Raw genomic sequence first — 26,172 nt, 5'->3', positions numbered from 1 at the left:
ATCACTAAGTATGCACAGAAACATCCTCCCACAGATGAGCTATACACCCACACAGGATCATAATGTTATCCTTTCTGTGAAACAATGATGCAATTGCTATACTGAGCAGAATAACAGAACAATTTTTACTCCTACATATTACCACTGATGCTCCATACTTTGTCAACAAGTTTTAAGCGCCTGGTGGGTCACAATGCTCAGAACAAGTAATATTTCTCATCAATTGTATATTATAATCATAAGAACAGTGCATATGTTATTAATAGTAAATATATAAAGAGAGATAGTGAAGGGAAATAGTGTATATCTCTAATAATAATACTATTATATTTCATGGAACTTTATAAATGCCATAAATTTCCATATGTCTTATTTTTGTGTATATATTGTATACTTTTACAAATAATATAAAAATATTGTTTTACTTAGAAGTAATATATAAATAATCCATCTATGTAAACCTTTGATAATGGTACCTTCATACTCAACACTTCAACATATTCTATTATTATCAAAATGTCTTTACATGCCTAAGGGGTTAATTTAAGCAATGAATATTATACTTTTCCTTTCCTTTTTTTTCTCCTCCCTCCCTGCCTTCCTCTCTTCCTTGCATTCATTTATTTATTGAAGTCACAATTCAGTTCACCAACATGTTTTTTGTCATCTAAATGCAATTCAGTTCCAGATACTATTATGTAATGAGGGATAAATTACCCTTGGTATTTGGCCATCACAATTTCATTAAGTAGGAGGGGAGAAAACATTCAAATACAAATAGAAGGTAGATAAGATAAATTCTAACAAAAGATCCCATTAAAAAGGAGATAAATTCTGATAATCCTGGATTAACTAAGTGAAGGAAATGATATTTTACCTGGCCCTAAATGGCTTTCAAATCTGGAATTTGAAGGTTTAGGGAGAAAGAACATTTCAAAGTGTGTGAACACACTGAACAAATGCACAGTCAATAAGAAGTAAGCAGACTGATTTGGTTAAAATTTAAGCTATGTGGGGAAAATGCAGTGGGAAAGAAGGCAGAGAAAATAATATGGGGCATATTATGGAGAGCTACCAATGTTAGGTTGAAGAAAATTTTTGTTTTTGTTTTAAAAGAAAAGCAATTTCAATTTTTCTATAACAATTTAATTTCCATTTTGAATCTCTTTCAAAAACTTAACTCAGTCAGTTTATAATTTCTCTTGACTTTCCTTGGGGAAGAGTTGAAGTCAAGGCAGCCTATCTAATATAATAGTTGATGATATACAGCAATGTGAGTTGTGAGTGAGGGTTGAGGGGTCTGTAGAGATGAAATGTTCTTGTCCAGCTAACAACTCCCATAGTCATCTCTTGTTCCATTCTTCATAGCCCCTTAAGAGTAATTTTTGTGCCATATCTCAGTTATGGGAATCTCCGCAAAGTTGTGTATCTTCCTAGACATACTAAAGTGGATGTTTTATCTCTAGAAAGGGTGGAGGAGGGATTGTCCCCCCAGCCGATTTAACAACTATCTCCACAGAAAAAAACATCTCCATAAGAACCAAAAATCAGGTGAGTACTCACAATACCTAGTTTTAACTTCATATCATTGAAAGAGGCACAGAAGAGGTAGGAAAAACAGTCTTCAATTGCCAATGCCCCCTTTCCCCCAAACCTGGGCAGCAGCTGCCTGATGATGAGAGTGTTTCTGTGCACTGGGGAGAAAGAAAGCCAGTAATTCTGAGGCATTAAACTCAGCTCTGACGTTGTTATAGCAGAAAACAAAACTGAACCAAATTCAGCTGATGTTCACCCATGGAGGGAGCATTTAAACGAGTCCTAACCAGAGGGGAATCAATCACCAATCCCAGCCATCTGAACTTGAGTTTCCACAAGCTTCGCCACCATGGGCTACAGCGATGTGGGGCCCCAAATAAACTGCAAAAGCCGTCTAGGCCACAAGGACAGCAACTCTTAGGCAAGTCCTAGTGCTAAGCTGGGCCCAGAGACAGTGGACTAGGGGGGCGGCACACAACTTACTGAGATACCAGCTGGGATGGCTAAGGGAGCACCGGCATCAACCCTCCCCTAACCCCAGGTTGCATAGCTCGTGGCTCCAAAGAAGGCCCCTTCCTTTCACTTGGGGAGAGGAAATGGAAGAGTGGGGAAGACTTTGTTTGCGTCTTGGGATACCAGCTCAGCCACAGCAGGATAGGGTACCAGTCAGAGTCCTCAGGCCCCCTTTCCAGGCCCTAGCTCCTGATAGACATTTCTAGATGCACTCTGGGTCAAAAGGGAACCTGTTGCCTTAAGGGGAAGGACCCAGTCCAGGTAGCATGCATCACCTGCTAACTGAAAAGCTCTTGGGCCCTGAATAACTAGCAGCAGCGATATCCATCCATGGCAATAAATTGGAAAATCATAGATAAATTCCTAGACACACACAACCTGCCAAAATTTAACCATGAAGAAATCTAAAACCTGAGGAGGCCAATAACAAGCAATGAGATCGAAGCCATAATAAAAAGTCTCCCAAAAAGGAAAGCTGGGGACATAATGGCTTCACTGCTGAATTCTACCAAACATTAAAGAACAAATACCAATCCTACTCAATCTATGCCAAAAAATAGAGGGGGCAGGGGAGGGAGCACTCAAACTTATTCTACAAGGCCAATATTACCCTGGTACCAAAACCAGACAAAGACACACCAAAGAAAGAAAACTACAGGCCAATATCTGATGAATACTGATGTAAAAATCCTCAACAAAATACTAGCAAACCAAATTCCACAATATATTAATAAGGTCATTCATCATGACCAAGTGTCATTTATTCCTGGGTTGCAAGGATGGTTCAACATACAAAAATCAGTCAGTGTGATACATCATACCAAAAGAATGATGGGCAAAAATCAAAGGATCATTTCAATTGATGCTGAAAAAGAATTTGATACAATTCAACATCCCTTCATAATAAAAACCCTCAAAAGACTGGGTATAGAGCCGGACTCGGTGGCTCATGCCTGTAATCTCAGCACTTTGGGAGGCCGAGGCGGGCGGATCACAAGGTCAGGAGATCGAGACCATCCTGGCTAACACCAGTGAAACCCCATCTCTACTAAAAAATTAGCCGGGTGTGGTGGCACGCCCCTGTAGTCCCAGCTACTTGGGAGGGTGAGGCAGGAGAATCACTTGAACCCAGGAGGCAGAGGTTGCAGTGAGCTGAGATCACGTCACCGTACTCCAACCTGGGCGACAGAGTGAGAGTCTGTCTCAAAAAAAAAAAAAAAAATACTGGGTATAGAAGAAAGATACCTCAACATAATAAAAGCCATGTATGATAGACTCACAGCTAATATCATAATCGGGAAGAACTGAAAGCCTTTCTTCTATGATCTAGAACACAAGGATGCCCACTTTCACCACTGCTATTCAACATAGTACTGGAAGTCCTAGCCAGAGCAATTAGGCAACAGAAATAAATAAAGTGTATCCAAATTGGGAAGGAAGAAGTCAAATTACCACTGCTTGCAGATGATAATGATCTTAAATTGGGAAAAATCTAAAGACTCCAAGAAAAAACTATTAGAATTGATGATCAAGTTTAGTCAAACATACAGGATATAAAATCAACATACAAAAATCAGTAGCATTTCTACATACCAACGGTGAAAAATTTGAAAAAGAAAACAAAAATAATCCCATTTTCAATAGCCACAAATAAAATTAAATATCTAGAAATTAACATAATCAAAGAAGTGAAAGATCTCTGTAATGGAAACTACAAAACACTGATAAAAGAAATGGAAGAAGCCACCAAAAAATGAAAAGATATTGCTTGTTCTTGGATTAATCAATATTCTGAAAATGTCCACACTACCTAAGCAATCTACAGATTCAATGCAATCCCTATCAAAATACCAATGACATTCTTCACAGAAATAGAAAAAATAGAAAAAAAATCCTAAAATGTATACGGAACCACAAAAGAATAGCCAAAGCTATCCTAAGCAAAAAGAACACAACTGGAGGAATCACAACACCTGACTTGAAATTATACTACTGAGATAGAGTATTTAAAACAGCATGGTACTGGCATAAAAACAGACACAGAGTCCAGTAAAAACAGAGCAGACAACCCAGAAACAAATCCACACACCTACAGTGAACTCATTTTCAACAAAGGTGCCAAGGATATACACTGCAGAAAGTACAGTCTCTCTAATAAATGGTGCTGGGAAAACTGGATATCCATGGGCATTAGAATGAAACTAGACCTGTATCTCCCGCCATATACAAAATTCAAATAAAAATGGATTAAAGACTTAAATCTAAGACCTCAACCTATGAAACTACTGCCAGGAAACATTGTGGAAACTCTCCATGACATTGGTCTTGGGAAAGATTTCTTGAGTATTACCCCACAATCACATGCAACCAAAGCAAAAATGGACAAATGGGATCACATCAAGTTAAAAAGCTTCTGTACAGCAAAGGAAACAATCAACAAAGTGAAGAGACAAGCCACAACATGGGAGAAAATATTTGCAAACTACCCATCTGACAAGCAATTAATAACCAGAATCTGTAAGGAGCTCAAACAATGCTATAGAAAAAAAAATCTAATAATCTGATTAAAAAATGGGCAAAAGATTTGAATAGACAGTTTTCAAAAGAAGACATACAAATGGCCATCAGGCATATGCAAAGGTATTCAACATCATTGATCATCAAAAAAATGTAAAGCAAAACTAAAATGACATAGCATCTCACCCCAGTTAAAATGGCTTATATCCAAAAGACAGACAATAACAAATGCTGGTGAGGATGTGGAGAAAAGGGAACCTTGTACGCTGTTGGTGGGAATGTATATTAGTACAATCACGATGGAGTACAGTTTGGAGGTTCCTTAAAAAACTAAAAATACAGCTGTGACATAATCCAGCAATCCAACTTCTGGGTATATACCCAAGGAAAGGAAATCAGGATATTAAAAAGATATCTGCACTTTCATGTTTTTTGCAGCTCTGTTCACAATAGCCAAGATTTTGAAGCAACCTGTGTCTACCAACAGATAAATGGATAAAGAAAATGTAGTACAATGGAGTACTATTCAGCCATTAAAAATGAGATTCAGTCATTTGCAACAGCATCTATGGATCTAGAGATCATTATGTTAAGTGAAACAGGCCAGGCACCTAAAGACAAGCACTGCAGGTTCTCACTCATTTGCAGGATCTAAAAATCAAAATAATTGAGCCTATGAAGATAGAGAGTAGAAAGATGGTTACCAGAGGCTGGGAAATATAGCAGTGGGGGTGGAGGAGAAGTGGGGATGGGTACAAAAAATATACAGTTAGAAACAATTAATAAGATCTAGTATTTGATAGCACAACAGTGTGACTATAGTCAATAATAATTTAATTGTACACTTAAAAATAACTTAAAAAGTATAATTGGATTATAGCATGAAAGATAAATTCTTGAGGGGATGCATACCTCATTTTCCATGATGTGATTATGAATACATTGCATGCCTGCATCAAACATCTCATGTATTCCATAATATATATGCTTACTACGTATCCACAAAAAATTTGAAATATGCAAATTAATAAACAAGAAATAATGGAGAAGGAAAAGTTAAACATTACTCTAAGTGTTCAAGCCTGAGGAAATGGATGGATGAATGGTATAGTAGAGATGGAGAAAGGAAATCGAGGAGATTAAAACAATTTTATTTTGTGCACATAAAATTAGAAGCGGCTGAAAACAGAACGTGTTACATACAATTGTCTGGCAAGCATTTGATAAAACTGAATTAGAATGGAAACAGAGCCAGATCTTGAAGATACTGACATTGAAGGGATAGTTAAAGCTACAAGAAAACAACAATGATGACTTCACCAGAACAGAGTATGTATGGTGGGAAGACGGCTGAGGATAAAACCTCAGACAATGCTTGTTTAGGAGCCAGAGCAAGAATTAATCCCATGGCCAGGATTAAATGAAGAAAGTGATATTACAGAGACAAGAAAAGAGTTTTGGAAAGGGAGAAGGGAAAAACAGTGTCTAATTTAAGTAAGAGTCAGAGAAAAATGACAGCAAGAAGCTTTAAAAATCAGTTTTAATTTAATAATGGAGATGGAGTAGTTGAAAAAGACAATGTGAGGAGTTTAGATGTACAAGTAAGAGTACTTATATAAACTGGTCTTCTAAGAAATATTTCAAAGTAGGAAAGGAACTATAAGCATAGTTTTTTGAGAAGCAGGGTCAAAGTGATGAAAAAAAGAAGATAGGCAGTTTAGCATTTATCATGATACAGTAATTTACAAAAATCCAGATAAACATATTTATATAACTCAGCTGATGTAAAGATTATAAATGCAAAGAATATATAAGTATGCTCTATATAACATGATTCTTGTCATTTTTGTTGGGAGAGTGTATTAGGAGATGGAAGATCTAGTACTATATACACACCAAGCAGAACGCATCATTGGAGGAGTTGACATGACAAATATGAAGAAAGGAGACTAGCTGACTGAAGTGTGATATTAAAGGGAAAAATAAATGAATCAAGAATATATCTAATACTTTCCATCTTCTTAAAACAGTATAACAAATGTGGCAAATTTATCAACCAGGGGCAAGGAGGCACAAATCTGGTGAAGCTTAAGGATAGCCTGGCTTGGTGGCTCACGCCTGTAATCCCAGCACTCTGGGAGGCCGAGGCGGGTGAATCACTTGAGGTCAGAAGTTCGAGACCAGCTTGGCCAACATGGTGAAACCCTGTCTCTACCAAAAATACAAAAAGTAGCCGGGTGGTGGTAGTGCACACCTGTAATCCCAGCTACTTGGGAGGCTGAGGCAGGAGAATCACTTGAACCCAGGAGGCGGGCATTGCAGTGAGCTGAGATTGTGACACTGCACTCCAGCCTGGTGGACAACAGCAAAATTCCGTCTCAAAAAAAAAAAAAAAAAAAAAGGATGAAGAATATTGTCAGGAGTAGAAAATGTTGACATGAGCTGCTTATTCCTCAGAGGAAAAAGATACTGTGATATAGTATTGGCCACAATGAGCTGAAGAACAACAAAAGCAAAATTTATTTTGTAAAAAGAAAACTAACACAGGAACAGAAAACCAAATACCACATGTTTTTACTTTAAGTGGGAGCTAAATGATGAGAACACATGGACACATAGAGGGGAATAACAGAAACTGGGGCCTATTGGAAGGTGGAGGGTGGGAAGAGGGAGAGAAAAAGAAAAAATAACTAATGGGTACTAGGCTTAATACCCGGGTGACGAAATAATCTATACAACAAACCCCCATGACACATACACTATGTGACAAATGTTAACTTGTACCTCTGATCTTAAAAGTTAAAAAAGAAAGCAAAACTTCAGTTTTTCACTAGTTTTAAGTCATTTTACAGTCTTTTACATTCAAAAAAGTTTCTAACAACTTTTCCATAGGGGAGAGGGACTATTCCATTTTTAGTAATAAGCTAGAACAATCCTCATCCATTTACCACTTATTGTCAGTCTGATTACTTTTACAGATTTCTGCCTTACAGCATCCCAGCTTAACTACTGACAGATGACAACTTCATCAAGATGCATACATATAGCAATGGTCTAGAGTAGCACTGTCCAATAAAACTTTCTGGGATAACAAAAATGTTCTTTGTCTATTCTGTTCAATTTGATAACCATTAGAAACACGTGGTTATTGAGCACTTGAAATGTGGCTCATGCAAATGAGGAATCGAATTTACTTAATTTTAATTGATTTAAATTTACATTTCAATATCCAAATGCAGCTAGTGGTTACTGTGGTGTTAGATGCAGTGCAGGTCTAGAGAAATATACTACAGTCCACCCAACAGTTACAAAACAGGAAGCCATTTAACAAAAATTCCAAACAAATAACAGTAAAGGCCACATCTGGAAGAAAACATGGAGGGATTCAGTTGTACTAACAAGATGTATCCCTTCTTATTCCTTCAGCAAACAGCAGATTCCAGTCTATTATGAAATCTACAATAGCAGCACAGTACAATGAAACCAATTCTCTTTGTAGAGTTGTCAAGAGCATCATAACAATAACAACTCTGTTGAACTGCCTATGAACATCAAGTGATATGGAAATGTTTTGTAAATTACAAAACATGCAAATGTTAGCTGTTATTATCATGATCCACACACAAATTTCAAAAGCAGCTGAATTAAGATGACTCCTAAGTTTCCTTCCAAGTGAACAAGGCCCTGATTCCATAATTCTGTACTTGCAGTGTCTCCATACCCACAACTGTAGTAATTTTCCACCTACCACATACACTGGTATACTTGTATCTGCACACATTTACAGATTATCATTACCTTTGAAATGCGTTATGTGCTTGAATCGCTAAAATACATTAATCAATATCATGATGTATCATACAATGATGTTTAACAAAAAATATCAATGCGTCTTACCTAACTACAAAAGAATAATGAAATGTTCTATTCTTGGCATGGTGTTTATTGATTATTGACTTCTTACCAATAGATTATGCCAAGTTATATGTTATTTTACTTAGTGGTCTAGAGAAAAATATGCACAGACCATCCAAAAGATACAAGGGTAGAAAAATACCGAAATAAAATTCCCAAGGAAAGAAGATGCAAAGAGCTCAAAGGGTAGCAGGAAAGAAAAATCGCAAAAATGTGTATATAGTACAATATAAATTTGTAGTCACAGGCAATAAAAGCAAAAATAAACAAGCAGGACTACATCAACCCAAAAAGTTTCTGCACAGCAAAAGAAAGAATCAACAAAATGAAAAGGCAACCTACAGAATGGGAGAAAATATTTGCAAACCATGTATCCAATAAGGGGTTAATATCCAAAATATGTAAGGAACCCACACAACTCAACAGCAAAAATAGAAACAAATAACCTGATTAAAAACTGGGCAAAGGACCTGACTAGATATTTTCCCAAAAACAACATACAAATGGCCATTAGGTATATGAAAAAATGTTCAAAATTGCTAATTATCAGAAAAATGCAAAGCAAAACCACAATGAGATATCATCTCACTCCTGTTAGAATGGCTATAATCAAAATGTCAAAAGATAAGAAGTAATGGCAAAAACGTAGAGAAGAGAATTCTTGTCTGCTGTTGGTGGAAACGTAAATTGGTACAGTCACTATGGAAAACAGTATGGAGGTTTCTCAAAAAAATTAAAAATAGAACGACTATATTATCCAGCAATCCCACTTCTGAGTATATATCCAAGGGAAATAAAATCACTATATTGAAAAGATGTCTGGTTTCCCATTGCAGCATTACTCACAGTAGCCAAGATATAGAAACAATCTAAGTGTACTACATAAGATGAATGGATACAGAAAATGTGATACACACATACACACACACAATGAAATATTAATCTTCCTTTAAAAAGAAGGATATTCTCCCACTTGCAACAACATGGATGAACCAAGAGGACATCATGCTAAATGAAATAAGCCAGACATAGAAAGACAAATACTGTGTGATCTCATTTATATATGAAATCTAAAAAACGAAGTCAAACTCACAGTAACAGAGAGTAGAATGGTGGTTACAATGGACAGGGTGGGAGGAGATAATGGTCAAAGGGCACAAACTTTCAGTCATAAGATGAATAGTTCTGGAGACCTAATGTACAGCATGGTGACAGTAGTCAATAATAATGTATTGCATGCTTGACATTTGCTAAGAGAGTAGATTTCAAGTGCTCTTACCTCACAGAGACACACACACATACACAGGAAACTATGTGAGGTGATGAATATGTTAATTAGCTTGTTTGTGGTAATTATTTCATAATGTGTACATACATCAAAGCATCATGTTGTATGTCTTAAATATGTACAATTTTAATGTGTCAATCACACCTCAATAGAGCTGGAAAAATATAAATTAGTAGCTGTAAAGAAAGACATGAGTAGAGGGTGTTAAGGAAGGAAAGACTACCACCTAGGTAAGCAGTCTGAGAAAGGCATTTATTTTAAAGAGAAGCATGAGTAGAATCTGGAGGAATAAACAGGAGTTATCCAGATAAAAGCTGAGGAATAGTCAAGACAAGGGGAATAGCATGATTAAAAAGGCATAGGGCTGAGAACCAGATTTATGCAGGGAGCTAAACATAGTTTGTTCTTACTAGAATATGAATTGTAAAGCAAGAAGAAGTGAAATGAGGCTGATGAAATAGGCTGGTACTTGACCATTTTGAAAGAACTTAAAATTTATCTTGTACACTAAGGGGGTACCCCTGAAGGGGTATAAGCAGAAGAGTGTTATGATCAAATATGCCACTGACATCAATCTCTCTGGTGGCAATATGATTTAAGGGGATTAAAAAAGAATGAGGGAGAATTTTGTCAATAAGGTTTTCTACAAAGATTTATTTCTGACTTGCTTTCATTCAATCTGTTACATAAGGTAATCTTCATTACAGAATGGCTTTGGGTATAAAAGTTTCATTTACAATCTCTTGGGTAAAGCAAACATCTTTACATAAAAATGACTTATTGGTTACATACTGAAACCATAGAAAGAAGACTCTGTAGAAGCTTTATGCAAAAATGTCACATAAAATCATTAATATGTTTGTTTAATAATAAAATAAAAATAGTTGGATTTTCATGTTTTCTGAGACTCAAATCCAATACTTTAACACTTTTATCTCACTATAAAAACCTAGAACATTATCGATGCCAAAAACTCAGAAAGTAGTAAGAATGAGTATATAGACACTCTCAGGTTTGTAAAGGCTCTAGAAGATATGTAAGAGAGAAAAATACTAAGATTACTTTTTTTCCTTTGAAATATAAAATCCATTGATTTACCAGTCAGTTGGAAGATATATTCTAATTGCACTATTGCTTTACTTTGATCATCATGAATAAGCATTCAGGTTAGGAATTTTCAGTGACAGAAAGAACTATATTGCTCTATAGCCATAGATAAACTGATCCACAGGTTTCCATATAGAGAGGTTATTTAGAGTCAAAAGATGTGGACTTGAGTTCTAGTCCTGCCTTACTGCCACATAACTTTGCAGGTCATTTAACCTGTCCCAGCCTGCTACCTTATATCTGAAACTTAGACAAAAATATCTGCCTCCCAAGTGTATTATAAAGACCAAATGAGATGGTATATTTGAAAATACTTCATAAATTGTAAAATATTATACAAACAGATGTACCTTTAGACATAGTTTATATTCATGTTTTCCCTCATCTGAAGATCCACTCTGTTATACAGTGAGTGCGACACACAGGAATAACTTGATCTTCACGTCCTTTTAGGTCGGAATTGCTCATCTCTAAGAATAAACTTAGAGAAGGCAAGGCTTTTGAATAAGTAATTGTAAACCATGAGAAACTAGGTTAACATTGATTTTTTCATTTAACAAATATTTATTGATCAATATCCATGTTCCAGGCATTGTCCTTGTTCTGGGGATAGGATGTTGAACAATACATAATTCCTACCGTCAAATTGTTTACAGTCTAGTAAAATGTGCAGAAAAACAATAAGATTATTTAATAAGCACCATGATGGGTTAAGAACAGACTGCTGTGCAGTAAGCAAACAAGTAACTTGATTTTGTCAAATAACATGATACTCAATACCTCAAAGAATAAAATCATCAAAATAGTCACTATTAGGAAACCGAAATTTCAGACTTCATTGCACTTAATATTGTGTTTATTGTGAATAATATGGTGGTAGGGCAACAGTCATATAACCTATATGACTTTTAGTATTTGAGGCTTCTAAAATGTCTTAATTGGGCTCTGGTGTCATATTTTGGAAGGATCAGAGGAACTTCCCAGAGGAAGTGATGTGTAAATTGAGGTTGGAAGGATGAGAGGAACTAAAGTTGGAAGAATTGTACTGGGCAAAACAAATATGTGGAAAGGCTTTGGATATGGTTTGGACTTGTGTCCCCACCCAAAACTCATGTCAAATTGTGATCCCCAGTGTTGGAGGAGGTGCCTGGTGGGATGTGATTAAATCATGGAGGTGTGTTTCCCCCTTGCTGTTCTTGTGATAGTGAGTGAGTTCTCACGAGATCTGGTTGTTGAAAGGTATGTAGTACCTCCCCCTTGCTCTCTCTTTGTCCTTCTCTGGCCATGTAAGATGTGCCTGCTTCCCTTTCACCTTCTGCCATGATTGTGAGTTTCCTGAGGTCTCCCAGCCATGCTTCCTGTACAGCCTGCAGAACTTTGAGTCAATTAAACCTCTTTTCTTTATAAATTACCCAGACTCAGGTAGCTCTTTAAACCTATGCAAGAATGGACTAATACAGCTTTAGAGACTGAAAATTTTAAAAACTTAAAAGGTCCTATGGCTGAGGCATACAGAGCAACAAGGGCATGAGATATGAAAGAGAAATATGGAGAGATGAACTGAAGAGGGAAAACTTTGGAAATCTAATAATGTGTTGCCTTGAAAGTCTGTTAAATAATATGAGTTTTATCCTGAGGCTAATGAGCAAGCCATCAAGGAGTTTCAAGCAGGGTCTGATATGACTACTATATCAAACTTCTGAACCACTTTAATTATCCTATCATAATCCCACATCCTTCTGTTTAAACTCCATGATGTTTCATTGTTGACTAAAATTGAGAAGTAAAATATATTGTTTCTGCATATATGTATAGCAAAGTATATAAATATCAACCAAAAGGATACATGCCAATGCTCATGCATGCCTCTGAGGAAGGGGCCTGAGCAGAAATACAAACAACTTTATAAAAAAGTTCTGATGCAAATATGACCATATCTTAATATTTATCAATTTGAAGTGTTGGTCCATGTCTGCTTCTTACATTATTCTCCATTTCTTTCTGTCATTTAATTTTTTCCAAATTATAAAATAAAAGATGAAGATATTATTACTCATATTTTCCAGGATAGTATATAGAGATAACTCTGGAGGAGTGTGGCCTGAGAACCACTATGGGTAATTCAAAAAGGGCAAGAGAAACCATATATTGCACAAACTGACTTTGGTAACACTGGTTGTCTCCTGCTGACTAGTGGTTACACATCATTAATTAAAAATTAGGGAAATTATTATTATTATAGAAATGTAGTTCAAAAGCCTTAAATTTTTTTTAACACATGGGGTCTGCAAAATAAAATAAAATAAAATAAAATAAAATAAAATAAAATAAAATAAAATAAAATAAAATAAAATAAGTCATGCTTGTAAAATGGCTGAGAACTACTTTGTTCTTCTGTCAGTGAACACGGCCAATTCTTCCACATCTTGCATAATATTCCTCTACAAAATTCTATTCCAGTTCTCTCCCACAAGGTCATCTAAAGTTAGCTCCAACTACTCTAGTCTTTTACTTCACAATGAAAAACTAACGCCCCAATAATTGAATGAGTGTGTAAAATAATTTTTTAGCATATAGAGACGTGAGGGTACAGGCAAAAGAAAGGCTAATTGTTTTTTCAGCATTCATATGGGTCTTTAACAAACCAAAAAAATCAAAATTTCAAGACTGAAGTAAAAATGTCAAGGTTATCAACGATTAGAAAATTCATTTAGAGTGGGCCAGGCATGGTGGCTCATGCCTGTAATCCCACTACTTTGGGAGGCCTACGCAGGCAGATCATGAGGTCAGGAGTTCGAGACCAACCTGGTCAACATGGTGAAACTCCGTCTCTACTAAAAACACACAAAAAATTAGCCGAGCATGGTGGCGCACCCCTGTAATCCCAGCTACTTGGGAGGCTGAGGCAGGAGAATTGCTTGAACCTGGGAGGTGAAGGTTGCAGTGAGCCGAGATTGCGCCACTGCACTCCAGCCTGGGTGACAGAGTGAGACTCCATCTTGGGGAAAATAAATAAATTCATGCATTCATTCATTCATTCATTAGATTGAGACTGTAATCCCTGTAACTTTAATAGCTGTCTTGTAACTTTAATAGCTGTGTTTTGACAGCCTGAAGAGGCAGTGAGTTAATTCCCATTATGAACTAAGTTTGTTTATTTTGCATGTCATGAGACAAGGCCTAAATGGTTTTGAATGGTCTACCAGATAACTCTACTAGCTTTACATATTTTATGCTTTCTTTTTATTTTATTTTATTATTATTATACTTTAAGTTTTAGGGTACACGTGCACAATGTGCAGGTTAGTTACATACGTATACATGTGCCATGCTGATGTGCTGCACCCATTAACTCGTCATTTAGCATTAGGTATATCTCCTAATGCTATCCCTCCCCCCTCCCCCCACCCCACAACAGTCCCCAGAGTGTGATGTTCCCCTTCCTGTGTCCACGTGTTCTCACTGTTCAATTCCCACCTATGAGTGAGAACATGCGGTGTTTGGTTTTTTGTCCTTGCGATAGTTTACTGAGAATGATGATTTCCAATTTCATCCATGTCCCTACAAAGGACATGAACTCATCATTTTTTATGGCTGCATAGTGGTCCATGGTGTATATGTGCCACATTTTCTTAATCCAGTCTATCATTGTTAGGCATTTGGGTTGGCTCCAAGTCTTTGCTATTGTGAATAGTGCCGCAATAAACATAGGTGTGCATGTGTCTTTATAGCAGCATGATTTATAGTCCTTTGGATATATACCCAGTAATGGGATGGCTGGGTCAAATGGTATTTCTAGTTCTAGATATTTTATGTTTTCATCAGTTATTTATTTGCTAGTCTTAGTCTTTCCCATTAGATTGTTAATATTTTCAGAGAAGGAACCCCATATTCAACTTCAATGTCTCTTTACTTTCTCAAGGTTCTCTGTACACTCTATAATCTGAATTTATCTGTTATCAATATTTTATTGCACTGATTCTCTATTTTCACTTTCTGTAATAAATATTACACATTGATTTTACATATGAGTATAAAAATGCAACTCATAAAGCCATATTGTTGAAAATAAAATTTCTAATTGCAAAGCTAGTACAGTACACTTAGTTTCTTCACACTTCTATTTTATACAAAAATAGACTGAGTTTCACAGTTTTTAAAACATTTTGTATGTGAGTTTGGTTTTAAACTTCAATCTGCTTGATCTCAGAAGATATATTTAACAAAAATAGTTGAGCCTTTACTGCAAGATTTGTATTACAGAAAAGATAGCAAGAACTTTATAGTCATAGAATGAGGCTAACATTTCTTTGTAATAGAAAGTCTCTCTAGCTTCCAGATATTCAAGTTGCTTATGGTAATGACCATCTACTATATCCCAAGGAAAGGAAACTCTATAGGGTCTAAGCAATGGGAGGCATTTTTTCCCTTGTAATAAACTCAAATAAAGGGTGCAAAGCAAAACTAAAATCAAATACTATCATAAATAAAAATATAAATTCAACATTAATTCTTTAATTCAAGATTATTCACTTGGCTGTCATAAAATAGAGATGGTATGGTATATAATTTCTACTGTCAGTTTAAACAATTCCTCAGGCCCTATACGTTTGTCTCTTTTATCTATTTAGATTGCATTTTCTTGTAAAAAATGGAATCATTTCTTTTCAGTAATTGTGTGCAGTATTTGAAAAAGCGCCAGTTATGTCCGCGTATGCAAAAAATAGTTTTAGATCATTGATGATGACAAGATATAAAAATCCTAATAAATACTAAATTGTCCAAGTAATAGTACTATCTTAAATCTAGGCTTAATTTGGTACACCTTGAAAAGAGATATTCCATAGAATCCATATCTGTTTAAGTTTCCTAGTACTAACGCCGAGTACCAAGTGATTATTAACCAGAATTTTGTGCTTGGACAAAATCCAAAAGGTCATTTATTGTCCCCCACTGAAACCTACCAGTCATATTCCAGCAGATTACACTTAAAATACCGACTGATCCTCTTTCTCTCTGTGTCTCACACACACACACACACACAGTACAAACACACTTCAGTATTGAGGAGAGAGAGGTTACATTCAAATAAAAAATATTGTTGTCCTCAAAATTCTAGTATAATGTTATACTGGAATTCTTCATAGATTGATTGCTGTGGCAGACTGTATTATGATTTCCAAATATATACCTGCCATTTTTTAAAGGGAAAAGTAAACTTCCTTGAGCCATTGAAGTCAGTCATGGCTATATGACTTGTTTTGACCAGTGAATTGTGAGTAGATGTGTTAGGTCTCATTTTTATGCAGAAGCTTTAAGAGCCAATGCATGGTTCACCATGTTCTCTTTTTCCTCTGCCATGATGACCAGCAATTTTCTAGAAGAGACTACTCTATCAGCCTGGGCTTTGAAGTGAATAGGACATAGAGTAAAGCTATAGCAACCCAGGATGCACATGGAGCATGGGCATTTGATATGAGCATTATTAAAAGCCACTAATATTTTCAGGTTGTTTGTCACTGCAGCATAATCTAGTATACCTTGACTAATACAACTCTGCACCAATAGAAGGGAAACATAAGACAGATGTGCATATGAAGACCTAACCAATGCAGATTTTAATGCAATAACCATTTCGTTAATTTTCCAGGCTGTATCTCTTCATTTCATGGGTTATTAGTGTTTTTTTTTAGCGGTGCTATGTCAAGCCTCACATACTGTTACCCACAGTCAACCTAAGGTTACATTCTGCTACCTCCTTGCAAATCTAGTCTTTTCCAATCTGGCTTTTTTTTTTTTTTTTTTTGAGACGGAGTCTCACTCTGCTGCCCAGGCTGGAGTGCAGTGGTGTGATCTCGGCTCGCTGCAACCTCCGCCTCCTGGGTTCAAGTGATTCTCCTGCCTCAGTGTACTGAGTAGCTGAGATTACAGGCATGAACCACCATGCCTGGCTAATTTTTGTAATTTTAGTAGAGACAGGGTTTCACCATGTTGGCCAGGCTGATCTTGACTCCTGACCTCAGGTGATCTGCCCGCCCTGGCCTCCCAAAGTGCTGGGATTACAGGCATGAGCCAACGCGCCTGGCCCAATCTGGTTTTAACAGATAAATTTTGACTTATTTTATAAGTTTGATTTGTGCTCACTTGTCCTAATTACTTGATTCTGACCAGTTCTTCAACCTGCCGCTGTCATTTACAATTTCAATCCATTATTTTACTTGTGTTAGGGCCTAATTTTATTTGAATTACCTATCTGATGTTGGTGGTCATTCTGACCCAACCTAAGCAGACTGGGATGTTAAAAACTACTTCTTCAGCAGAAGCGAAATGCCTTAATAAATCAGTGCCTATAACTATTAGGTTGGTGCAAAAGTATTCGTGTTTTTTGCCATTAAAAGTAATATTAATATTATGACATATGACAAAAATGGTAATTCAGAGAGGAGGAAGATAATGAAAGTACAAGACATAATAAGCATTAAAAGTAATGGCAAAAACTATGATTACTTTTGCACCAACCTAATAGTAACTATAATTTATTTGGTTTGCTGCTTTCATCTTGTGTAGGTATGAAAATCTATGTCATGTAATTCATGTATGGTACAATATGATATAATAAATGCTTAAAACATTACTAATGATTATTATTGCTTCTTGTTTTACTAACCTTAGTGCCTTCCCCTGTCTACTACCACCACACCACTTTCTAGCATTGGTTCTCTCTTTCTTATTACAAGTGTGCAATAACCACTTTTTATTTAATAACTTATATTTGATGTTTCATAGAACACGCCTAATCCTTTTGGATATGTATTTACTACAGAGGGACTATAACCCACTAATAACTACAGTTATAAATTGAAAACTAACCAGACTCCTTTATAAATGTATAGGCTCTGGGCTGTTATCACCTATAAATAATTGAACCTCCTGATCCACACTTCTCAATCATTCAGCCTGTGGTAAAGTCTAAAGAATCTGCATTTTTAGTATGCCTCCTTAGATGAATCATGGTCCATGGAAACATGGTCCAGTGTTTCCTTTGGGAAACACTGTTCTTAATTACATGCATTTTTTCCCACCTCATATTTGTCTCCTTCTAAAGTATGAGTATAGCACAATTGCTATCAACTTTGGCTTCGTATTTGAATCACTTGAGGCATCACTTCTATAATACTGATGCCAAACCCCATCACAAAGAGTCTAATTTAATGGGTCCAGTATGGGGTTCAGGCATCAGTGCTTTGAAACAGCTCTTTACTTGATTCTAAACTCCTAAAGTTTCTAAATTTCTGTAATCATTTTTGGTGAACTTTTAAGGGAAAAATAATTACATCATTCTTTCAACAAACACTTATTTGCCAGGCACTGGAGACACAGAAGAGCATGGGGACTACTCCTGCTTCCAAGTCTGTCACAGCAAATCTTTTCTTAAATGAACTATTACTGTTGGCTTGGTTCTTTAAAAAGAATAGTCACAGTATATCACAAATGGTAGCATATCAGGGACTCTCCTCTGAAGTTTATTTTATCACTCATGAGGATCAAAAATAGCCTAACCCACCTTTCTACATCTGTATCCCTATATGTAGTATAGGAATAAAGGTAAAAGTTACCTCTTCTTAGGGTCTTTGTGAGAAAACTATAAAAGCCTCTTCAAAGGTGAACTGCATAATAGGACTCAAATACAGTAATTCAGATAGTAGAAAGATAATGAAAGTACAAGACATAATAAGCAATAAAATTTTGAGAACATGATATTCACAGCTGTAAAGATGAGCATATGCAAACTGTATAGCCTAGTAATTACACTCCTAGTAATTACACTTAAATGTAGGTATATACCCAAATGTCCATGATAAGAAGAATGGATAATCATATTGGGGTATGCACATAATGCACAGAATTCAATATTATATGCAGTGAAAATGAATGAACTACAGCTACAGAGGAAAACATGCATGAATTCAGAAATACATAAATTGAAAACAGTAAGAAACAGAGTGACAGCATTGTTACAAGCTCAAAGACAAGCATAATCAAATGATACATTTAGAGAAGTATCTGAAACTATTTTAAGAACAAATAAAATGATAAACACCTTGAGGAGGCAAGCTGATGAAATGGGAGAGGAGCTCAAAAGTAACTGAAACAATATTGGTAATGCTGTAGTTATTTAATTAGAGGGCAGATTCATGAGTATTTATTATTATTCTTCATAACATACATATATGCATTCTTTTGCATGTATGTACATTTCATAAATTTCAAAATGTAATACAGTGAAGAAAGAAGATGTCTGAGAAATAGGATCTACTATTTGCTATCTAAAAGGAATTGATGAGTTTAGTACACCCTCATCTATTCTCCTTCTGATATTATTGATGGTGATAATATCTTTAAAAGCGCTTTGGCAGGGCGACTCTGATAACATGCAATATAGTTTTGGTTTATAAAAGAATAAACCTATGAAAACAATCTATTTCAGCATCCATATTAATATGATACACAGTAAGTCTTTAAGTTTTTGCTCACAAGCCAGGCCAGTATCAGAAAGCTGCAGGAATAATAAGTTATTATGCCCCACTCTTCTAGAGTCCTTTGCTAAGTATTAGTATGCAATGATGTCATCACTCTTATCTCTTCATTCTGAGCCTTCAGAAATATGCAGCTGCCAAAAATTAGGTATTTAATATCATGAATGAGAATTTCTTGTATGTGTATTTATATCTATTTTGATAATATTCTCATACACACACCTTTGAGAAGATACAGGTGCACATATATAACATTCCTTCAGTTTTGAAAACAATATATTTTTAGTTTTTACATTTTTTTTCAGAAAAAAAGTATTCAAGTTATCTGGGTATTATTTCTGATAGTTTTATATCTAACTTCTGACTTACTATATTAGCATTATACGGAAAATTTGAAAAGATATTGCTTCTTTATAATTAAAGTAAAAGGCTGAAGAAAAATTAAAGGATAAAGTATAATTGAACTGAATTAAAAGTATTATTTGTTTAAACAGAAAGGAAATGAAAAAATACTGTTGGTATGAATGTAAATTTGTAGTGCCATTATGGAAAACAGAATGTATATTTCACAAAAATAGAACTATCATATGATCCAGCAATCCCACTACTAGGTATTTATCCAATGGAAAGGAAATCGGTATGTCCAAGAGATATCAGCATCTCTATGTTTACTACAGCACTATTCATAACAGCCAAGATAAGGAATCCACCTAAATGTTAATCAACAGATGAATAGATGAAGAAAACGTGGTATATGTACACAATGGAATACTATTCAGCCATAAAAAGAATTAAATCCTATAATTCACAGCAACATGGATGAGTCTAAAGGATATTATGTTAAGTGAAATAAGTCAAGCACAGAAAGATAAATATTACATGTTTTCACTCATATGCGAAAGCTAAAAAAATTGAGCTCATAGAAGTAGAGAGTAGATTGTGGTTATTAGAGGTTGGGAAGGGTAGGAGAGAGGAGGGGATAGGGAGAGATTAGTTAATAGATACAAAATTACAGCTAGACGGGAGGAAAAAATCCTAGTGTTCTATAGCACTGTAGAATGAATATAATTACCAATAATTTATTGCATATTTTCAAAAAGCTGGAAAAGAGGATTTTGAATGTTCCCACCCTAAAGAAGTGACAAATATTTGAGATGACGGATATGCTAACTACCCTGATTTGATCATTACAGACTGTATACATGTACTGAAATATGACTCTGTACTCCATAAATATATACAATTATGTGTCAACTAAAAATAAAAGAAAAAAGTGAAAAAACATTCACCTTTTATATTGCCTTAATTGAGTATGCTAATATAATCCATATTGTTTTAAAAATGCATATAAAGCTTGTCCTGTTTTTTGGTCTGAAATGTCCCAGTTTCAATCTCAAGAGCCCCAATATAATTTTCAGGTCACCCAGAATGTCTGATTCAGGAAGGTTTAAACACTAACTCTGAGTACATAGTAAAAGTAATATTTAAAGTTGTGTTTTAAATGTCTGTGAGACCATTCTGGACAGGCTTTTCATATGCTTTCAACACTTACCATATGAACGATAGAATACGTACCTTGCCTACTCCAGCATAATTTATATCCCCATTTTACATCTTTACGTGTATTTACTACTTGAACTTGAATATGTGAATAGAGATGATACATTCCTGGGTAATCAAAATTAATTTCTGTATTACATTTGAACATGAATGTTTCAACATATCTTGCAGAAAATGAAGCACAGTAATAAATTTGCATTAAAATCTAAAGAACATTCTGAATTATACTAAAATCCTTTTTTTTTTTTTTAAATCACATTTTAGAAATGAGATCTTTCTTCATTGCCACTCAATACCAAAAGTAAGCAGAGCATCACTCCTTGAAATTTTCTGTGGAGCGAGAAACTAGCTGAGTTTAGCATTTCCAAAGGCTCTTTTGCTACACAAAATAACTCGAGTGGCCATTTATTAAGCTCCCACTATATGCCAGATGGTGGGCTAAATCAGTTTCTAATCTTCACAACAGCCCAACAATAATCTAAAAAATGGTAGGGATCCACTTTTACAGAAAAAGAAAAATAATATCAGAGATATGAAGTAATTTGTCCAAGTTTATACTGTTTGTTGAAAAGCAAAGCCAGGATGATGAACTTGGATCTACTTCATGTCAGTGCCCACTACACTATTTTGCCATAAATTGTGAAAGTAAATGATATGAAATGTCAACTAAGAAGGTAAATGAAGTACTATTCATATACATGAATGTAATTAAGTAAAATATAATATCTATAATCAATAAATCTACAGGCTAAATTTCCTTGAATAAATCCTTAATGAAACTAAAAATTACTTCTGGGCTATTCATTTTAACAAAATTTTATAATCTTTCTAAACAGTATTTACAAATTTGTGCTCTAAGCAGTTAAAACACAAATCCCAATTCAATAAGTCCTAAAAACTCTTATCTTCTCAAGTATTTACCTTGAGCAATTAACAACTTAAGATAAAACAGATAAAATGGTTATATTACATTTGAGCAGGAATACATTTAAAAAGGGCTATATACTCAATATGCTCATTTATATCTTTATTTTAAGATGCAGATTTAGAGGATGTTTCATAAATTATTTACTTTTATTTTCTGTATTTAAAATAATATAAAGGTAACACAAGTGAATAGAAAGCACATAATTTAAAGGAGGCTGTCCATCAAAAATAAAAATTTTTAATACTGATGTTTAAAGAATATTTGTCCATTTACTTGAACAAAGGTTTAGAAAATAAAATACATCTGACAGGTAAATATGGAACAAAGTAAAACAAAAGAACTGTCAGAAAGCCAGAATAACAACTTAAGTAAAGACATTTATTACAGGAAAGACCAAAGCAACAGCACTAATTGTTTCTGCGTAATTAGGATTGGATTATTGTAAATATTCTTCCTTACAGTTTTCTGTAAAATGTTTTTAACACTATTCAGACAACCAGCGATAACCAAGAACATGTAAAATGGATCTAAGAAGGTTAGAAATGAACAGACCCATAAGCAAGCAGAGATTTTTAATAAATACAGTTTAGAGAGGACCAGTTCAGGTAAAAAGCATATCATCAAAACTTGAGTTTTAAGAGGAATTTTTCACTCTGTATTTAACACTTCAAAATCTGATTTAAAATGTTCTTTAACATGTTTGAATTTTTCCCTCAGCACCTAATTCAGATTTCACTGTAAATGCAGCTCATGAAAACTAACACCAAATGGAGAAAAAAATCTCTGACATTTATTTTTCAAAACAAAGTTCCTATTTTACTTCCTTTTATCAAGTCTCTTTATTCCTTACCCATTTTTGTAAATAATATTATTTTCATCTTTGTTTTTCACTTTACACTCATCAGCTATTTTATTTTATTTTACTTTTTTTAACTTTTATTTTAGGTTCAGGGGTACATGTGCAGGTTTGTTATATAAGTAAATTGGGTATCATGGGGTTTGCTGTACAGATTTTATCACATACGTAATGAGCATAGTACCCGAAAGGTAGTTTTTCGATCCTCACCCTCCTCCCACCCTTCACCCTCGAGTAGGCCCCAGTACCTGTTGTTCCCTTGTGTCCACGTGTACTCAATGTTTAGCTCCCACTTATAAGTGAGAAGATATGGTATTTGGTTTTCTGTTCCTGTGTTAAGTTTGCTTAAGATAATGACCTCCAAGCTCCATCTGTGTTGCTGCAAAGGACATGATCTCATTCTTTTTTATAGCTGCACAGTATTCCATGGTGTATATATACATTTTCTTAATCTAGTCTACTACTGATGGGCATTTAGGTTGATTCTAAGTCTTCACTATTTTTAAATAAATCTCATTTGGTTCTCAGAAAAACTTTGAGGTAGAGGTGATTATTTCTGTTTACAGATGGCGAAAACAATGACATCGTTTGTCCAATGTGGAATCATCATGAAAAACAGGGCTGAGTCTCAAATCTTCCAAGATTACAACCTTGCCCCATGTATTTTAAGCTTCACCAAAGTTTCATCTTGCAAACCAACACTTTTGTGCTTATTTCTTAACTAGTGGCAATCTAATTCATCATTTTTGTGTTTGAAGTGGAGAACATAAAAATGGTACAGTAGAATAATTTTAGGTTAAGCTGATATCCATTAAGGAAGGCATCATGGCAATTATTTAAAGGCTGACAAGTAGTGTGTGGGTACCTGTCTCATTGTTCTGATTCAGTTGCTGTCAGTGTTCTAAATGAAGCTTCAGTTCTTTGTGAGAATTCTATTTAAGATTTTAAAACCAGTTTCTCTTTTTTTTTTTCAAAAGTGTCATTATAACCAATCTTATGTGATGAGGAAAGTGTTGGGGAGGGGGGCGGAAATCTCTTTAAAAGGCTTCAAATACAATGATCCAAACCCATCACAACTGGGAATAAGTAAAATAAATATAGCAGATTAAACAAATTCCTGCAAATGGAGGTTTTCAAAAGAAACTGACATTAACTTTCTCCTCTAATTTTAGTATTATTTTAAATGTAAGTGGCCAATATCAAGAAGCACTTTCCTTTTACTTCATAGTAGCACCACTTTGTTTTAGGAAGGGGAAAAAAGCCATTTGTGACAGTTTATTTTTAGATATTGATTATCTCATCTTGCTGCAAAGGGAATAAAAATAATTAAAGCTGAATGAAAAATAATTTGAAGCACAGCATATTTCAAAGCATAATCATCATCATAACTGTTCAGAAGAGATTTCTTGAAAGCCTGGTAATAAATGCATGTCCTAGATTTTTTTAAAAGTCTACACCTTGCTTATTCAAATTGGCCTCTTTTACTGGCAGCTTAAGTTTAATTCCTGTCTTCAGATACTTCATACAATTCCAATCAAATGCAGTGATTAGTATGTATATAATGGCTGAATTAGATGATTAGATGAACATTAACTGTTCGTAAGCTATGTAATTTATTTTAAAGTATAATTTCAGTATTTGTCTAAGCTGTGTTCCTTTGGCAAACTTAAAGAGGTATTTCTTCAATGTACTTAACATTCTTTTTTGTTTTTTGATAACTCAAATTCATTTTAGAAAATAAAAATTCATTTGGAAAATAGAGAAAAGTCGAGTCTAAATAAAATCACCCATAGTTTCACCATAAAGAAATAAACACTTAACTATTTTATTTCATTATTTTACCTATTAATCCTTATTCTTCTTGCTACTACTGGTAGCAAGAGACCACAGAGCCCAGAAAAACTTGGTACTGAAAAGAGATATCATCACATAACAGTAGAAAAAGAACAGATTATTTAAGAGATAATTTACAAGCACTAATATATCATGCCTATAATTACATTTCCTCTAAAAGATATGTTTGGATATGGGATATGTTCCAGTCAATTCACCCAAGTCTCTTCCATTTCTCCTTGCCTTATACCGGACTTAATTTAAACATTTATATTAGCTGCTGGACCCTGAAGGCATCTGGTTTGGGGATCCCTGGCTTAGATAATATTTGAAGTGGAAAATCAGTTCAGGTAATTAGATCACTGTTAAAAGCTATTAGGCACATTTGTTTGTGTGTGTACAGGTCAGGTTCCTTTTATATCTTCTGGTAAGCTAACTGAGCTAAATGCACAGTCTCCCAATAAATAACTACACATTTCATTTCTTTAGAATGGTTTGTCTTTGAGAAACTTCTAAACCAGTATCTTAAAAACTCTTGGTACATAGGATACTTCCCATTGTTGGAATATGAAGTTGCTAATAAATTAACAGAAGGAAAGTTTGTCAGCTAATACCTGTTGCACAATTGTTGTTAACTCCAGGCAGAGTTGTATGACATTATTTCTTGTAACTGAATAGTCTGTCACAGCAGCAAATGGTGACCTATAAAGGGAAAAGGAAAATTGTGATTACTAGTAACAGCTTTTGAAAAGTCCCAAAATATAGTAGCCTAAAATGAGTTTATCAATAATATGAAATAAATTGTTCTGAAATTTCCATACTGATAAAAATATTCAGGACTTATTTTAAGGAAAGATTTGAAAGAAATGATTGGAAGAAAATTAAATTCAGGAAATATAATGTTTGCTTTCTACCAAATTTCTCTCTTTTTAAAGTTCTTAATTATTTAAGTTCTTTGGTTCTTACAAGGTATCTTCACTACATCTAAAACAAAAAAGGAATACTTTAGGCAAAGATAACATGTCAGTTTATTTTCAAAAGAATCTAAGATTCTGAGTACAGTATCTACTTAGAATATTCACAATCAAGAGCTAGTAATAACAACTGCTAAGGTTTACTGAGGGCTCACTATGTGCCAGTTACTATTCTAAATGCTTTACCTGTATCAGGTAATTTAATCTTCACAACTATTATGAGATAGGCACTATTATTATTCTCATTTTACAGAGGAGAAGCATAAGGTAGAGAAAGATTAAGTGACTTATCTAAGGTCACACAACTAGTAAATGGTGGACCTGTATACTGATGTATCTTCAAGTGTTTGAAGCAACTCATTTAGTCATGTGTCTAATTCTTTTTACACGTTTAGATTTAGTTTGGTAATATTTTGTTGAAGGTTTTAACATCTAAGTTCCTGAGAAATATTGGTCTGTAGTTTTTTTTTGGGGGGGAGGGGTATATCAGGATAATGATTGCCTCAAAAAATGATATAGGAAAAGTTCCTGCCTTTATTTTCCGGAAGAGATGGTATAGAAATGGTGTTTCTTCTTCAAATATATAAAATTCAACAATGAAATCATTT

At 34.7% G+C, this 26,172-nt stretch overlaps 1 protein-coding gene across 8 annotated transcripts in view; it reads right to left on the bottom strand.

Moving 5' to 3' along the window:
- The window catches only part of CNKSR2 (connector enhancer of kinase suppressor of Ras 2), a 280,272-nt gene that overhangs the window by 188,704 nt on the left and 65,396 nt on the right, over positions 1-26,172 (bottom strand). For all 8 annotated transcript variants that reach the window (NM_014927.5, NM_001168647.3, NM_001330770.2 and 5 more), the window contains exon 4: positions 25,205-25,292. In NM_014927.5, the coding sequence (NP_055742.2) occupies positions 25,205-25,292 (88 nt within the window). The remainder of the gene's footprint in view (positions 1-25,204; positions 25,293-26,172) is intronic.

Source organism: Homo sapiens, chromosome X, assembly GCF_000001405.40.
Source record: "Homo sapiens chromosome X, GRCh38.p14 Primary Assembly".
Lineage (NCBI taxonomy): Eukaryota > Metazoa > Chordata > Mammalia > Primates > Hominidae > Homo > Homo sapiens.
Note: the sequence above shows the minus strand (reverse complement) of the source record. Positions and strands in the feature narration are given on the sequence as shown.